This window comes from Homo sapiens, chromosome 7, assembly GCF_000001405.40.
Source record: "Homo sapiens chromosome 7, GRCh38.p14 Primary Assembly".
Taxonomy (NCBI): domain Eukaryota; kingdom Metazoa; phylum Chordata; class Mammalia; order Primates; family Hominidae; genus Homo; species Homo sapiens.
Genome location: NC_000007.14, coordinates 63335694 through 63353918, shown reverse-complemented (window position 1 = coordinate 63353918; position 18225 = coordinate 63335694). Strand labels below are relative to the sequence as shown.

Sequence of the window (18225 nt, the reverse complement as noted above, 5' to 3'; positions counted from 1 at the left end):
AATCCCAGCATGCAACGGGAGTGGGGGGTGGTGCGAATGCCTGGAGGAAGGGGCCGCGTGGTGCGCGCCTCGCCAGGCATTCTGGGAGTAGTTTCTTAACCGCTTTCGGCTGTTGGTCGCAGGGCTACCGGCCTACAGTCCCAGCAAGCGCCGGGCTGCGGGGTGGTGAGCAGTCCCGGAGGGAGGCGCAAGCCGTGTGGACCTCTCTGCTTCCAAACCTATGCTGGCCACTGATTCTGTGCCATCCCTGGCTAAGGGGAGTGAGTCCAGAGAGGGACTTAAGGGGCAAGTCGGGGCTGGGCAGTGAGAAGAGTGTGACGCTGCGAAGTGCACCTCATCTTTGCCTAAATCGGGCGGGTCTCAGCCTCACCCCACCTCTCGCTGCTCAGCTCGGTTTCCCTCCAGAGCATCACGCCTCCTCCAGCACAGGAGCCGCCTGCTTTCCTAGGCTGCTGTGGAACTGGCCTGAGGTCCCAGACGCTGTCCATTGTGCTGCCGCCCTCCGCGCTCTCCAGCCAGAGCGCCAGTTCACCGGCTTTTGGGAGAACTCCGCCGCCTCACCTGCCCGCGGACAAGGTCACAGCTTTGCAGGGGGTTGACATGGGCTGTGGCTTCCTGGAAATGTCACCCTCACCAGAGCCTTTTACATGGATGTGAATTTTGAGACATGAAGGAGGGTAATTATTGGTTTACCCAGGAGATGCTAAGAGCAGAGGAGAAAACCCTAATTTCCAGGCATGTGACTTGAGCCAGGGACAGGCTAGCCAGACCCTGAGCCCCCAGTGCCGCCAGAGAGCAGCCTATTGCCCTGGTTTCTGTGGAAGTCTCTTCATGCTGCTGGGCCTTAGCCTCAGGGACAGCTCAGTCAGGTGAGGGTGGGGATGACCCATGGGCTTCTGGAGCTGGGCTGGTGGTCCTGGAAGGGCCGGCCCATGCCCCTTGGAGAGGGTCTTTGTGCTGAGGGATGCCCACAGAGGCCTGGGTACCAGGAACACTGCTCCAGGCAAGGGGCCTTTCTTCCAGATTTGGCTGGAAGGAAGACTTGGTCAGCTTTTCCACCTTGCAGGGCTGCACCCCATGGACCTGGGTTCCTGGAGTCTTTGACGGCTTTGTGTGGTCGACTTGTTTTGATACTGAGGACACCCCTGCTGGCTGTTAATTTCAGGGCAAGGGATATGAGGCCATTATTTTAAGTGAAATAACTCAAGAATGGAAAATAAAATACTATTATTTTTCACTTATAAGTGGGAGTTAAGCTATGCGTATGCAAAGGCATACAGAGTGATGTAATGGACTTTGGAGACTCAGAAGCAGAGAGTGGGAGGTGGATGAGGGATGAAAAAACTACCTATTTGGTACAATATAAACTACTCAGGTGACAGGTGCACTAAAATCTCAGAATTCACTGCTATATAATTCATCCACGTAACCAAAAACCACTTGTACTGTAAGTGATACTGAAATAAAAATTATAATAAAGCAAATTTATAATAAAATTAAAATTATACTTACATAATTATAATATAAACAAAAATTATAATAAGGAGCAGCTTTTTTTTTTTTTTCTTAAAAAGAAAAACCCAGTGCCACAGTTTTGGGTTCTAGTGTTTTGGATAGAAAGCCCCTTTTGCTCAGTAACACACTCACTACTGGAGAAGCAAAATCCTGAAAATTCAAGAAGAACCTTGGCATAAACGATATTTCTGACAAGTTATTTATACACTGCCTACATGAGTATTGCAGATATGTTTTAAAGACAAAGATCCATGTAGACTGGGTCAGCTTTATGCTTGGTCATTTTATTTCCAATTCTTCTCCCCTAAAATACAAGTCATGGGTTGCCATGGTGATTATTCCAACTGCATTGTGGTCAGATGGAACTGGTGACCTGTTCTAATTTCCCCTTCAGTTACAAAATGAGCCCGATGCTCTTAGCCATCAAAATCTCACCAACACCTACTACTTCAGTTTCAACTCTGGTTCCTTTTTCAAGGCAATCACTCAAAGTTGCAAATCACAGAAAGGCAAAAATGTTTTAACTAAAAACTTAATAAAAAGTTATACCCCCCCTGAAGCCATGTAATTTGGGTTTTATTTATTTTATTGTCTATTCAGGTCCATAAACCTACAACTGTAACAATATATACCATTCATGATAAGTTAATATTTATTGAATAGTAAAATGAATATACGTTAAGGGTAGATCTGGCTTCAAGTATAACTGCAATCAGGGCTGGTGTGATATGTCCAGTAGTCAAGGACAAATGTCAGTTGTAATATGACCTCCTCCACTTGAAACACACAGCAATACTTTAAACGTCTGAAAAGAAAGTTACGTAGGGAAATAAATGAAAAGTTATTAATTTGATTAAGAAGGAATTAAACCTGATTTTAAAATAGATAAAGACATACAAATATAAAAAATACTGAAGAACAATTAGCATAGGTAGAGGAGCACTAAAAGTATGATAGAAAAGAAATATATTTAAAAATATTAGTTTCTGAGTTAAGTTTGTAGATATAGAGACCTGACAAAGAGTTGCTCCTACACATTAAACAAACAAACAAAAATGCTGGAGAAACTTCAAATGAATGGATGGTTTCTCCTGAGCCCTTTAAAGAACTGAGGTCACAGGGCAGACTACAAACCCAACATCAGGGGATGCAGAAAGCCTGCAGGTCACACAGGCTCCAGGCTTTTATGTGTACCCTGAAGACCATGTAAACTGGTAAAATTAAGCCAGAACTTTTGAACTAGTTCCTGGTGGCTGTGTGTGGGTGGGTGAGGAGAATGAGAAACCCTGGAGTCTACAGACGTAGGGTTTATACCGTTGTGTATAATTTTTCTAGGAACCCTACAAGGCCTGTCAGGGAAGATGGGGTTAGAATCCTGAGGATGCTTACCCCACAGTGCTGATGGGGAGGGACCACTATCCCATCCACTACTGCAACTCTGGAGACACAGCCCTCACATCTCTCCTATATAACATGAGGCCTAATCTGCAGAGAAAGAGCATCCAAACCTGAGCCAAAGGGCACTGGGGAAAAGCTCATGGAACTGAGGGTGAAGGAACAAGGCCAACACCCGCATTTCTGCACAGATGCATCTCCCATAAAGAAAAGAAACCATTAATTTACAGGGCACTGTTCAAGGCCCACTTCAACTGGGAGTTAAGAGCATGGAGAAGGAGCACGTTTCCCCTACCATGGACAAGGAGGGACAGGAATGTGCTCTTGTCCTGGCATTGCATGTACAGGATGGGCAGGAAACTCTTCAACGGTCAGTAACCCCACACCCCAGTTCACAGTGCTAAGTCTGAGGCTTCCTCAGAACATTAGAGATCTCCTCACTCCCTCACCACTGCCACCAGGCTAAGAAGCATGGAGTCAAAACAGTGGAATATAGCTGGGCCAAGTGCAAGAAACCACGTGTGGGAAGAGGCACAAAGGGAAGGCACAGCAAACTCGGGAGATATTAGCAAAGTATCATGAGAGGGATTTGAATTTCCTGGTCCTCAGAAGGTTGTTACTGCCATAACGACTTTTAACCCCAGCCTACCCTCTCATCAACATGACCACAAACCCCTATACTAAGGCAGTTATCTGAGAGAAAACTGCTCGTCAATAACCTAAAACCTATCCCCTTTCAATGTCAGTGGGCTGATGAAAAAATAAAAATAATAAAAAAAAGATTTACCCCAATGCACTATCCTATACAACATATGCTATTGCTTTTAACAAAAATTAGAAGCCAAGACATCCCTTTTTATCTTTAGTGAGATCTTCATTTGTGTTAAAACCAAATTAAGGTCCCAGTGCGGAGTTTAGGAGGCTGGGACTTCAGATCACAGCGGGCGCCCGCCTCCCGCCCGCCGTGGCCACGCCGCGCCGCGTCCGGGAAGGCCCAGCGGAGGCTCCGGGGAAGGCGACACCAGCAGGCGGCCTGGCCGGCGGCATTGAAATGGGCGTCCGCTCCCCACGGAGCGCGGGAGGTCGTAGCTGCAGCCGGACGAGCGCTGGCACCAGCCGGGCACCGCGCATGGATCCCGCGTGCGCACTGTCGCGGTCATGGCGTCCCGGGCCGGCACCGCGGCCTCGGCTCCCTGCTCTGCGGCTCTTGTCTCCAGGGCGGCGTTGGGTTCTGAATGTTCCAGTTCCACAGCAGCCAGACGCGGGATGCCCAGGGACGGCCTGACGGCAGCGCTGGCTGCGGTGCGGCCAGGGCGCTGGCGTGGCCGAGGCCATGGTGGTCGTATGTTCCATGGACACCATCAAGGTGAAGTTCATCCACGGCCAGACCTTCCCAGACCTCCAGTGCAGAGGAGTCTCCCACCAGGTTAGAGAGATTGTGCGAGAACAAGGGGACTCACCGGGGCCTCATGGCACCCACGCTAAAGCAGGGCTGGAACCAGGCCGTCTGCTTCTCCTCCTGACCTCCCTGCACAGCTGGTACCGAGGGGACAACCCCAGCAAGCCCATGGACCCGCTGGTCGCTGGGGTCTTCGGAGCCATTGTGGGCGCAGCCAGTGTCTTGGGAAACGCTCCTCTGGATGGGATCGAGACCGGATGCGGGGCCTGGAGCAGCACAAACGCGGAACACACCGGCCTATGGCTGCAGATCCTGAGGAAGGAGGGGCTCAAGGACCTCTAGAACGGCACTGTCCCCCGCCTGGGCCGCTGGACCGCGTCTCCCTGGATGTGACCAGGGATAAGGGTAACAGTATTTATCCTCTACCAGGAGGTGGAGAAGCTGCACAACAGTGTGGAGGATGGACTAAGCCCAGAGGGGTAATGAGGGAACCCCCCAGGCACCTCCAGAGCGGCCACCACCCTTGTCTCACATGATTCCAGCGCAGAAATGCCAAAAGGCCCCTGCCCACGTCCCTCGAGCTCTGTGGCCTGCCCTGTGCATTGTGGTGTCACGTCCATTTGTCCCCTAGTGCCATGTCTCCCCGTGGTCTGTACGTGACACTGCGCCTGTGTCCACGAGTCTGGCCCGGCCGTGGCTGGAGGTCCATCTGGCCTGTGAGTCTGTGCCCACTTGTCCATGTGCTTATTGTGAGCCCTGGGCCTGTGATTCATTTTCTACGTCATGCGACACTGCGCCCCGCCTCCCGGGGTGCCAGTGTGGCCTGAGTCCTTGGCCCTGTCATCCCGGCCCGGGCCCAGTCCACTGCCTTCCACCCTGCCCTGGCCTACCACAGCTGCCTCTGGGCCTCGGCCTGGTTTCACTGCATTCTTGGGGTTACACCCCTGAACCCCAAATTCCACCCCTCACCAGCGCTTCTCCTACCATTGGCTTGACTGGCCCACGGCCCCTCCCTCTGCCCAGGAGAGGGTGACACCCACCACTCTCAGGATCACCCTGCCAAGGCAGAATAAACCGGATCCTATTGTAAAAAATAAAAAATAAATAAAAAGTATGAAGCACAGAAGAAAATAAGCTACGAGGAAAAAGGGTTAGAAGATTTTTCTTTTTGAGACAGAGTCTTGCTCTGTTATACAGGCTGGAGTGCAGTGGCCCGATCTAGGCTCAATGCAACCTCCGCCTTCCGGGTTCAAGTGATTCTCCTGCCTCAGCCTCCCGAGTAGCTGGGGTTACAGGCATGCCTCACCATGCCCAGCTAATTTTTGTGTTTTTAGTAGAGATGGGGTTTCACCATGTTCACCAGGCTGGTCTGGAACTCCTGGCCTCAAGTGATGGGATTGCCTCTCCCTCCCAATACAGGCATGAGCCACTGTGCCTGGCCCGGTTGGAAGAAATTTGATATCACATAAACTTTGCATACTGGAAATATATTTGTAATATTTTAAATTTTAAAAGTATTATAAATATATTTATATTTGTACATATTAATATAAAATATTAAATTTAAATATTTTAAATGTTTAGGTAAAAACAATTGAGGAAAAGATGATATCCAAATAATTTTTGAAAGAGCAGGAAACTATAAACTGAATGAGGAAATTTGGAAAAGAGTCAAATAGAAATGGAATAATTTAAACATAAAGAAATTTAATATACGATATGTGAGTTAATTATAAAATTAGACTACGTTGATGAGAGAATTAGTGAACTGGATTAATGAACTGAAATTTTGAGCAGAACGAATATAACCAAATAAAAGAAAGAGAAACAAAATAATAGTAATATGAATGTAATTATACATATGTGAAGAATAGAATGACAAAGAATAAAGCACAATTATTTCACTTGAATTCATACAAATAATAAGTCATACTAATAAATAATTATTTACAAATTTCTAAAAGTAAAAACCAGACATGTGCCTAAAAGAGACACTGTGCCTGAAAGCAAGCAATAAAGAGGCTGGGTGTAGTGGCTCACATCTGTAATCACAGCACTTTGCGAGGCCAAGGAGGGCGGGTCACTTGAGGTCAGGAGTTGAAGACCAACCTGGCCAACCAGGTGAAACCCCGTGTCTACTAAAAATACAAAAAAATACAAAAAACTTAGCCGGGCATGGTGTCAGCTGCCTGTGATCCCAGCTACTCCGGAGGTTGAGGCAGGAGAATCCCTTGAACCCGAGAGGCGGAGGTTGCAGCGAGCCAAGACTCCAGCCTGGGTGACAGAGCAAGATTCCGTCACCAAATTAAAAAAAGAAAAAGCAATAAAGAAAGATATCCAACACCATAAGTCAAACTGCATAACACCAAAGAGAATGAAGAAACTTCAAAGCCATGAGAGAGAGAGAGAGAATCTACACATGTGAGAGTGAAATCTCCACAGCCCAGGCAGAGCCAGAAAACTGAGAAGGAAATATTAAGAGTGCTGAAAAATTATTGTTCAACCAGTAACTGAATACATAGCTAGCATATATTTAATAAATAAGGGTAAACTAAATAACCTTCAGAAGTAAAACACACACACACACACAAAGAGAAATTTTATCTACCAACAGGAGCATCTTAAGTGTACACTTCAAGAAGATAGAAAAGTTGTCTTATATAAAACTTAAGGGATCAAAATTAAATATAAGAAACTTGTGGACACAGGGGACTATGACGGTGGACTTTAAAGAAACCACCAAGTTCTTGGCAGCATAGTTTTCAAAAGTATTTAGATGAAATAAAAGTGTAATAAAATAATATATAAAATCACCTGCTTCTTGAATTATTTGATGTCCAAATCTGTTTTTCAGATAATTATTTTCATAATTTATTATCATCTATGATATTTATATAACACATTATGCAAAATTTTGATTATTCTATTATCAGAACTAATTAGCATAAAAGGGCTAACAGATAGAAATTGCCCATAAGCATCTGGACACCCATGATGAATGAGTCATAAGCCCATAACAGGGTTGAGGAGGATGAGATGATGAGGCCCACCCAATACATGAGCACAAAGCAACTCACCAGCATCGGAATGGTCTAGGTGGCCCTTTTCTCTGGGGAGGCTTTTGCAGACAGGTTGGTGCTGGGAAGGTACTGGGGTTGTCTCTGATGCCTGGACAAAAGAATTACCATGTATGCCCTTGAGAGCAACATGACTGCTACAAAGAAGACATCTGCAAGTAGTGGCAGCATGAAAGACAGACTCCTGATGATGTAGCTTATGTAAGAAAGTGAACAGTATTTACTGATACTTGGCACATTGCTGTCGGTCACATTAGAAGAGGCCACAGTGGAGGAAGGCAGGTTACTACTGAGAAAGAAACTGAGAACCCCAAGAAGTGAAAGATGCAATGTGTGAATTTCTGTTTAATTCTTGCCAACCAGGAGGTGCCGGGGGTAATGGTGACAGCCTGGAGCACACTCCGGAGGCAGGTGGTGCAGATGGAGAGCCCTCATCCCTCTATGCATGTAGAAGAATACCTTACACTTGAAGTCATTCTGAAAATACTGTGACTCAAAGAGGTCCAGAGATGCCAAGAAGCTCACAGTGAGGAGCATCACTAAGTGGACAAGGGCCAGGTGACAGGTGATGAGGTCAGTGGGCTTAGGCCTGCAGTCCAGAGGGAGTGTGCAGATACAGAAGAAAAGGAGGAAGGTGTTGGCTGTGAGTCCAATACCAGCTTGGGAAAAAAGGGCAATTTTTAATAGTGTCATAAGTGGACTATGGTCGTCTTAATGGTGAAGAGGGATCATATTTTATATATCTGAAAAAGCAATAGATATCCTATCATCAGTATTATTTATTGCACGGTCAAAATTATTACCAATATTATCATTTTAATTTTACCCATTTATCCTGATTAACCTGGACTATCTCATATAAATTCTTTAAAATGTAGCCTAAGCATTTTATCTTACAACAAATAAGTTATACGTATCTGAAACTTCCATACATCCACAATCACACCCATGTAGGGTGCACATTATCTATACTCATAGAGTACTTGTGGCTCACTCATCAGAAAGCATTTCCTTCCCTTCTGAATTCCTCAAATCACTGAACATTCTCAGATCAAAACTTTTTTTCTTCTTAAAAGCTTTTCAACTTCTAAGAATATATACATATTTCAATGCTCAAAGATGAAAAAATGTCCACTAAAAATTTTATCCTCAGAAAAACTATCAATTAAAAATAAATAAAAAAGACATTTCAGGTAAATAAAAGCTGAGGCAATTTTTTGATAGCAGACAGATCATTTGAGAAAGAATAAAAATAAGTTTTCAGGCTGAATGCAAGTAATCCCAGATAATTTTAATGCCCCCAAAAGACAAAGAGGACTAGTAAATGTAACAAATATTTAAGGCAATATAAGAAATTTTTTTCTCATATTATCTGATTGTCAAAAGCAACTGTGTAATATTGTTTGTAATGGGATCTTCAGTGCTATAACATAAAGAAATTTAATTTATTTGCCAATTACAGCACAGAGAAAGTGGGTTCAAGAAAAGATATATTGGGCTAAGAAAATCTTTCCAGATAATAACTTGTATCTACAAAGATTTAAAAAAGTACGTCAGAAAAAGTGAAGGATTACAATAACATAATGAATAATAAGAAGTTTAACAAAACAAACCTGTAAATACACAAGTGCTCTTTTTTCTTATTTCAGCTTATTTAAAAAAATAAAATTATGTAAGCAGATAACTACAAACTGTTGTGTTTGTAACATATGTAGATTTAAACATTAGTACCCAAACTAGGAGGGAAAGACAGAATAAAGTTGTACAGGAGCAACGTTTTCATAAAATGAATATAAGGTTAAAATGTGAAGCTCCAATACCTACCTACATACATATATATGGTGCAATTATCAAATTAATGTAATTAGCAGGTACTATATTATGTGTATCTGCTAGTGCCCTGGTCTTGGACTTCTCAGCCTCTGTAACTGTGAGAAGTAAGTTTAGACTCTATATAAATTACCTGTTCTAAAGTATTTTATTACAGAAATAGGGATAGCCTAAGACAACATTCGTGAACATCCATGCTGTGCACTAAATCACCGGAACTTGTTTATTTTATATCTAAAAGTTTTGATCACCGTGTCTTCATTTCTGCCAGCCACCACCCCCTAGCAACCACTGTGGACTCTCTGTTTCTATGACTTTGACATTTTTGGCTTCATATATGAGTGAAATCAAACAGTATTTGTCATTCTGTGTCTAGCTTATTTCATTTAACCTAATGTCCTCTAGGTTCATTCGTATTGTAGCAAATGGCAGAATTCTCTTTTTTATGGCTGAATAATATTCCATTATATAAATATTCCATAATTTCTTTACCCGTTCATCTATTAATGGATACCTAGATTGTTTGCATGTCTCTGTCATTGTAAATAATTCTGCTATGAATACAGAAGGGCAGGTGTCTCTTTTAGATACTAATTTTATTTTCTTTGGTTATATATCTGGAAGTGAAATTGCTGGATAATATGGCAATTCTATTTTAATTATTTGAGAAAGCTTCACAGTGTTTCTGTAATGGTTGTACCAATATTTCTGTATTTTTAAGTGTATGTTGTACTCTGTTGGGAGCCAATTTTTATAGACCTGTTGGTTAATTTGTTTTACATCTTATATAAGCTTCCATTTGGACAATCTTTTCAAGGATGTTTTTAAATAACTAACAGCCTTGTGTGAAGTGAGTAGTGTCTCTTTTTAGAGCAGAGGTCAAATACATACATAAATAATTTAATAAAATTATGTTTTCCCCAGAGGCAAAGGTTGGGAAGGTTTTATTTGAAACACTTTATTTTTTTTCAGCAAAATTCTCTGTATTTTAATGAAGTAAGACAGTAGTCCTTGAATGGAGGAGAGGACAAAAAGGGAACCCCCAAAATACATGATGTGTTGAGAACCCCAAAGTCCAGTGGAAGTCACATCAGGCACAAATCCCATAGAGGTTCTGAGTGAAATCCCTGCTACAAATTTTAGCCATGAGAGATGAAGGAGTTCCCCCAATTTAGAGGTATCTTCTAAGCCAAAAAATAAAATGATGGAGGGGGGCAGGGGCTCAATCTTTAAGAGTTTTCCAATTTTAGAGGAACTGGGAAAGCACATCAGGACCCCCTCATCTAACAGGGTGGGGGATATGAGATCCTGATGCAACTTCAGGACAGAGATAAAACATTGATTCGTTGGTGGGCAGGGCTCCTTGGCATGGCGGGCTCAGATTGGCTCCCTAGTGGCTGGGAGTAAGGTCAGGCTCAAGACAGCCTGTGTTGAGTAGTCAGGAAGGAAACTCATCAGCTTGGGTTTGATAAAAGGACGATTTAGAGGTATTCCCCTCCATCTTGGGGAGCGACCCTTGCAGCAGAAAAATTGTGGTGAGAGTCTGGGGCAAATGGAGCCACTCCTTTTGCTGGAACATGAGGCAGTCAGACAGCAGGCACCACATGGCTTCGGGCAGTTGCTGGAGATTTTTCTGAGGTCCAGGGATGAAGAGTCACAGCCCACCATAAAGATAATCTGGTCACAGCTGCCAATGTGGCTGTAAGGCAGTGAGCCAGTCGTGAGATTTTAGAGCACAGCCACACTGGCATAGACGTCCGACTGGAAGCTGAAGGGGTTCAGGTCAGCTGCGATCCACAAAACAGAACCTGAAGGCTTCTCCAAGGGCTGGGCCCTGCTTCACTCTGTCTTCACTGTGGCCAGACGAGAGTCACTCATCTTTGTGTTGAAAAATGTTATTAGACTTGAGATCACCTTGGATGATATTCTTGGCATGGAGGTAGTTCATGCCCTGGGCAGTCTGCTGGGCCATGTCAATTAGCTGGACTATATAATATAATATATAATGCAACATAATATAATATAATATAATATAATATAATATATTATATAATATAATATACTGTGACATAATATATGTCAGACATAATATATAATGATGTCATAATATATTGTGATATAATATCATGTATTATACATACGATATATATCATAATACATTGTGATATCATAATATAATACATGATATATAATCATATATAATATATGGTATAATACATTGTGATATCATAACATAAAATTTTGTTTTTTTGTATATGTTTTATGAAATAACAAATTATATATATGACACCGTATCTGACAAAATTTTATTATATTACATGATATTACATAATATATTGTGATATTATAACATATAAAATTTTGTCAGATAATCTTATGAGAAAACTGAGTTAAATTTTGTAACAACATTAACATATAAACTTAATAGAACCTAAGAAAATTATCTGCTCTTGTGTAAATGACCATTTTTTCGATAACTCTGAAGGCCAGCTATGGGTGTGAAAGGGGTCTGCTACTTACTTTATGAGACATTGACCTCCAAATCTTTGCTGTTATTAACCAGTGCCCTTGCAAGATAAGAGAATATTTTACTCTAAGAAAGCATTTTCATAGATACCATAATAGGAATTTTGCTCATGTTAGTTAATAAATTATTATAACTTTTTTGGTTATTAATAGTTTGTCATTAAAATATACTTCTACAGATAACCCATTGCACAGGTGTTTTGATTCATCCTTTAGCCACAGGTCAAATTTTAAAATGTTTATTCGTCAAATTTTATTTATTTTAGATAAAAGAGTCCTTGTATCTACCATGTGCTGTAAGATCTGTATGTTGTTAGAAAGACAAATTCTCAGACAAAACTCATGTCTATTTTGAAATTCTCAAACCAAGTTCAGGTCTATTTTTTTCAAAATCTAGATTTTACGTAATGTTTCTAGGTGTTTCCTTTCAATAAAAATCCAAACTAAAAGAAATAAAAAATGTATAGGTAATTCCCATGCATATCAATATTGTTAAGTGGGGTACTTTTATTTTTACGAAAGGGATTGTTTATATGGATGTATTGATGTGTCAAACAGGTACAGTTAAGATTGTACCTTTTTTTCTCAGCGTCTCAATCTGTCACTCAGGGTGGAGTGTAGTGGTGCAATTACAGCTCACTGCAGCCTTGACCTCCCAGGCTCGAGCGATCCTCCCATGTCAGCATCCCAAATAGCTGGGACTACAAGTGTGCACCATCATGCCCAAGTAATTTTTAAAAAATGTTTGTAGAGATGATGTCTCACTACGTTGCCCCAGTGAGGTCTTGTTACGTTGCTCAGGCTGGTCTCAAACTCGTGAGCTCTGGCTTCCCAAAGGGATGGAATTACAAATGCAAGCCACTATGCCTGGCCAAGATTGGTCCTTTCAATGAGCTCACATCTTATTTTAAAAAAGAAAAACTAATTAAAAGATAAAGTCTGAGTAACAAATGGGTTCACGTTAATGATTATTAACTTGGGTACTTCTATTCTTAAAAGAAAAATTGTTTATATATGTGTACTGATGTTTAAAAAGGTACAGTTAAGAGTAAACCTTTCTTTTTTTTTTTTTTTGAGACAGTCTCACTGTCACCCAGGCTTGTGTGTAGCTGCCCAATCACATCTCACTAAAGCCTCACCCTGCCAGACTCAAGGGATCCTGCTATGTCAGCATCCCAAGTAGCTAGGAATACAGGCATGCACCATCATGCCTCATTTTTTTTTTTTTTTTATTTTTAGTAGCCATGTGGTCTCACTATGTTGCCCAGGCTGCTCTTAAACTCTGACGCTCAAGTGAGCCTCCTGTCTTGTCATTCCAAAAGGATGGAATTACACAGGCTTAAGCCATTGTGCTCAGCCAAGATTTTACCTTCAATTAGCACACATCTTATTTCAGAAAAAAATAATAATAAAGTCTGGGAAGAAAATGCATTGAAGTATGGATAAAACAAACTTGGCACAGGTTGTTGAGCCTGGGTAACAGTTGTATTATACTGTTTTATTTTGTATATGTTTTAAATTTTCTGTAATAAAACATGTATACAAATACAAAGTTGATCTTCAGTGTTAGCTCTTAAGACCTTAGTGACTTTGAGGAGCAAAAAGAGAGAAAGTGGGGTTGCTTGGAACAGCTCCAGTCTGCAGCTCCCAGCAAGACCAATGCAGAAAGCGGGTGATTTCTGCATTTCCAACTGAGGTATCCAGTTCATCTCATTAGGACTGGTTAGGCAGTGGATGCAGCCCACGGAGGGCGAGCAGAAGCAGGTTGGGGCATCACCTCACCCGGGAAGTGCAAGGAGCCAGGGAACTCCCTCCTCCAGCCAAGGGAAGTGGTGAGACACTGTGCTATCCGGTCCAGATACTATGCTTTTCCCACAGTTTTTGCAATCCACAGAGCAGGAGATTCCCTTGTGTGCCTATACAAACAGGGGCCTGGGTTTCAAGCACAAAACTGGGCAGCTGTTTGGGCAGACACCGAGATAGCTGCAGGAATTTTTTCTTCATACTCCAGTAGCACCTGGAACCCCAGCGAGACAGAACTGTTCACTCCCCTGGAAAGAGGACTGAATCCAGGGCGCCAAGTGGTCTCGATAAGCGGGTCCCACTCCCATGGAGGCCACCAAGCTAAGAACCACTGGCTCGAAATTCTCACTGCCAGCACAGCAGTCTGAAGTCAACCTGGGATGATTGAGCTTGGTAAGGGAAGGGGTGTCCACCATTACTGAGGCTTCAGTAGTCAGTTTTTCTCTGACAGTGCTAAAGAGGCTGGAAAGTTTGGACTGAGCAGAACTCAACAGAGTGCAGCAAAGCGGTTGTGGCCAGACTGCCATTCTAGATTCCTCCTCACTGGGCAGGGAATCTCTGAAAGAAAGGCAGCAGCCCCAGTCAGGGGGTTATAGATAAAACTCCCATCTCCCTGGGACAGAGCACTTGGGGGAAGGGGCAGCTGTGGGCACAGCCTCAGTGGACTTAAACATTTCTGCTTGCTGGCTCTGAAGACAGCAGCAGATCCTGAAAAGGAGGATTCTCCCAGCACAGCGCTCGAGCTCTTAGACTGCCTCCTCAAGTGGGTCCCGGATCCCCATGCCTCCTGACTGGGAGAGACCTCCCAGCAGGAGTCAACAGACACCTCATAGAGGAGAGCCCCAGCTGGCATCAGGCCAGTGCCCCCTCTGGGACGAAGCTTCCAGAAGAAGGAGCAGGCAGCAATCTTTGCTGTTCTGCAGCCTCTGCTGGTGACACCCAGGCAAACAGGGTCTGGAGTGGACCTCCAGCAAACTGCAGCAGACCTGCAGAAGAGGGGCCTGACTGTTAGAAGAAAAACTCACAAACAGAAAGCAACAACATCAAAATCAACAAAAAGGACCCCCACGCAAAAACCCAAGCCAAAGGTCATCAGCCTCAAAGATCAAAGGTAACTAAATCCACAAAATGAGGAAAAACCAGTGTAACAATACTGAAAATTCCAAAAACCAGGATGCCTCTTCTCCTCTAAATGATCACAACTCCTCTCCAGCAAGGGCACAAAACTGAAAGGAGAATGAGTTTGATGAATTGACAGAAGTAGGCTTCAGAAGTTGGGTAATAACAAAACTCTTCTGAGCTAAAAGACTATGTTCTAACCCAATGCAAGGAAGCTAGGAACCTTGATAAGAGGCTACAGGAACTGCTGTAATAACCAACAGTTATTATAGAGTCACCAGCTTAGAGAATAACATAAATGACCAGATGGAGCTGAATAACACAGCATGAAAACTTTGTGAAGCATACACAAGTATCAATAGCCAAATTGATCAAGTGGAAGAAAGGATATCAGAGATTGAAGATCAACTTACTGAAATAAGGTAGGGAGACAAGATTAGAGAAAAAAGAATGAAAAGGAACAAAGCCTCCAAGAAATATAGGACTATGTGAAAAGACCAAACGTACAATTGATTGGTGTACCTGACATTGATGGGGAGAATGGAACCAAGTTGGAAAACACACTTCAGGATGTTATGCAGGAGAACTTCCCCAACCTAGCAAGACAGGCCAACATTCAAATTCAGGAAATACAGAGAACACCACTAAGATACTCCTCGAGAAGAGCAACCCCAAGACACATAATCATCAGATTATCCAAGGTTGAAACAAAGGAAAAAAAGTTAAGGGCAGCCAGAGAGAAAGGTCAGATTACCTGCAAAGAGAAGCCTGTCAGACTAACAGTGGATCTCTCTGCAGAAACCCTACAAGCCAGAAGAGAGTGGGGGCCAATATTCAACATTCTTAAAGAAAATAATTTTCAACCCAGAATTTCATATCCAGCCTAACTAAGCTTAATTAGTGAAGAAGAAATAAAATCCTTTCCAGACAAGCAAATGCTGAGGGATTTTGTCACCACCAGGCCTGCCTTACGAGAGCTTCTGAAGGAAGCACTAAATATGGAAAGGAAAAAACTGGTACCAGCCACTGCAAAAACACACCAAAATGTAAAGACCAGCGACACTATGAGGAACTGCATCAACTAATGTGTGAAATAACCAGCTAGCATCATGATGCCAGGATCAAATTCACGCATAACAATATTAACTTTAAATGTAAATGGGTTAAATGCCCCCAATTAAAAGACATGGACTGGCAAATTGGACAAAGAGTCAAGACTCATCACTGTGCTGTATTCAGGACACCCATTTTATATCCAAAGACACACATAGGCTCAAAATAAAGGGATGGAAGAATATTTACCAACCAAATGGAACACACACAAAAAAGCAGGGGTTGCAATCCTAGTCTCTGATAAAACAGACTTTAAACCAACAAAGACCAAAAAAGACAAAGAAGGGCATTATGTGGTGGTAAAGGGATCAACGCAACAAGAAGAACTAACTATCCTAAATATATATGCACCCAATACAGGAGCACCCAGATTCATAAAACAAGTTCTTAGAGACCTACAGAGAGAATTAGACTCCCACACAATAATAGTAGGAGACTTTAACACCCCACTGTCAATATTAGACAGAGCAATGAGACTGAAAACTAACAAGGATATTCAAGACTTGAACTCAGCTCTGGACCAAGCAGACCAAATAGACATCTATATAACTCCCCACCCCAAATCAACAGAATATACATATTTCTCAGCACCACATAGCACTTATTCTAAAATTGACCACATAATTGGAAGTAAAACATTCCTCAGCAAATGCAAAAAGAATGAAATCATAACAAACAGTCTCTCAGACCACAGTGCAATCAAATTAGAACTCAGGATTAAGAAACTCACTCAAAACTACAAAACTACATGGAAACTGAACAATCTGCTCCTGAATGACGACTGGGTAAATAAAAAAAATTAAGGCAGAGATAAAGAAGTTCTTTGAAACCAAAGAGAACAAAGACACAATGTGCCAAAATCTCTAGGACCTAGCTAAAGCAGTGTTAAGAGGGAAATTTATAGCACTAAATGCTCACATCAGAAAGCAGGAAAGATCTAAAATCAATGCCCTAATATCACAATTAGAAGCATTAGAGAAGCAAGAGCAAACAAATTCAAAAGCTAGCAAAAGATAAGAAATAACTAAGATCAGAGCAGAACTAAAGGAGATAGAGACATGAAAAAAGCCTTAAAAAAATCAATGAATCCAGGAGCTGGTTTTTTGAAAAGATTAACAAAATAGGTAGACCACTAGCTAGACTAATAAAAAGGAAAAGAGAGAAGAATCAAAGAGACACAATAAAAAGTGATAAATGGGATATCAACACTGATCCCACAGAAATATGAACTACCATCAGAGAATACTATAAATATTTTTACGAAAATAAGCTAGAAAATCTAGAAGAAATGGATAAATTCCTGGACACATACATCCTCCCGAGACTAAACACGGAAGAAGTTGAATCTCTAAATAGACTAATAACAAGTTCTGAAATTGAGGGAGTAATTAATAGCCTACCAACCAAAAAAAAAAAAAAAAAGCCCAGGCAGGACCAGACCAATTCAGAGTCGAATTCTACCAGAGGTACAAAGAGGAGCTAGTACCATTCCTTCTGAAACTATTCCAAACAACAGAAAAAGAAGGACTCCTCCCTAACTCATTTTATCAAGCCAGTGTCATCCTGATTCCAAAACCTGGCAGAGACACAACAAACAAAGAAAATTTCAGGCCAATATCCCTGATGAACATTGATGCAAAAATCCTCAATAAAATACTGGCAGACCAAATCCAGTGGCACATTAAAAAGCTTATCCACCACGATCAAGTCAGCTTCATTCCTGAGATGCAAGGCTGGTTTAACATATGCAAATCAATAAATGTAATCCATCACATTAACAGAACCAACCACAAAAACCACATGATTATCTCAATAAATGCAGAAAAGGCCTTCAATAAAATTCAACACCCCTTCATGCTAAAAACCCTGAATAAACTAGGTATTGAGGGAACATACTTCAAAATAATGAGAGCTATTTATGACAAACGCATAGCCAATATCATACTGAATGGGCAAAAAAGCTGGAAGCATTCCCTTTGAAAACTGGCACAAGACAAGGAAGCCCTCTTTCACCACTCCTATTCAACACAGTATTGGAAGTTCTGGCCAGGGCAGTGAGGGAAGAGAAAGAAATAAAGGGTATTCGAATAAGAAGAGAGGAAGTCAAATTGTCTGTTTGCGGGCGACAAGATTGTATATTTAGAAAACCCCATTGTCTCAGCCCCAAAACTCCTTGGGCTGATAACCAACTTCAACAAAGTCTCAGGATATGAAATCAATGTGCAAAAATCACAAGCATTCCTACACACCAATAATAGACAAGCAGAGGTCCAAATAATGAATGAAATCCCATTTACAATTGCTACAAAGAGAATAAAACACCTAGGAATACAATTCACAAGGGACACGAAGGACCTCTTCGGGGAGAACTACAAACCACTGCTCAAGGAAATAAGAGAGGACACAAACAAATGGAAAAAATATTCCATGCTTATGGATAAGAAGAAT

The 18225-nt window shown here is 42.0% G+C and overlaps 1 long non-coding RNA gene and 3 pseudogenes across 2 annotated transcripts; 1 reads left to right on the top strand and 3 right to left on the bottom strand.

The window, feature by feature from the left end:
• Positions 1-2144: 2144 nt before the first annotated feature.
• Positions 2145-4849, bottom strand: LOC100287704 (uncharacterized). The gene is made up of 2 exons (NR_028348.1): positions 4371-4849; positions 2145-2320 (listed from the first exon to the last, which is right to left on the bottom strand). It is a non-coding gene; the product is annotated as an uncharacterized LOC100287704 (long non-coding RNA).
• Positions 3853-7119, top strand: LOC102724738 (solute carrier family 25 member 1 pseudogene; annotated as a pseudogene). Its single transcript, NR_136256.1, has one exon. The product of NR_136256.1 is annotated as a solute carrier family 25 member 1 pseudogene (transcript).
• On the bottom strand, positions 7187-8079 carry VN1R30P (vomeronasal 1 receptor 30 pseudogene; annotated as a pseudogene).
• On the bottom strand, positions 10186-11206 carry ARAFP3 (ARAF pseudogene 3; annotated as a pseudogene).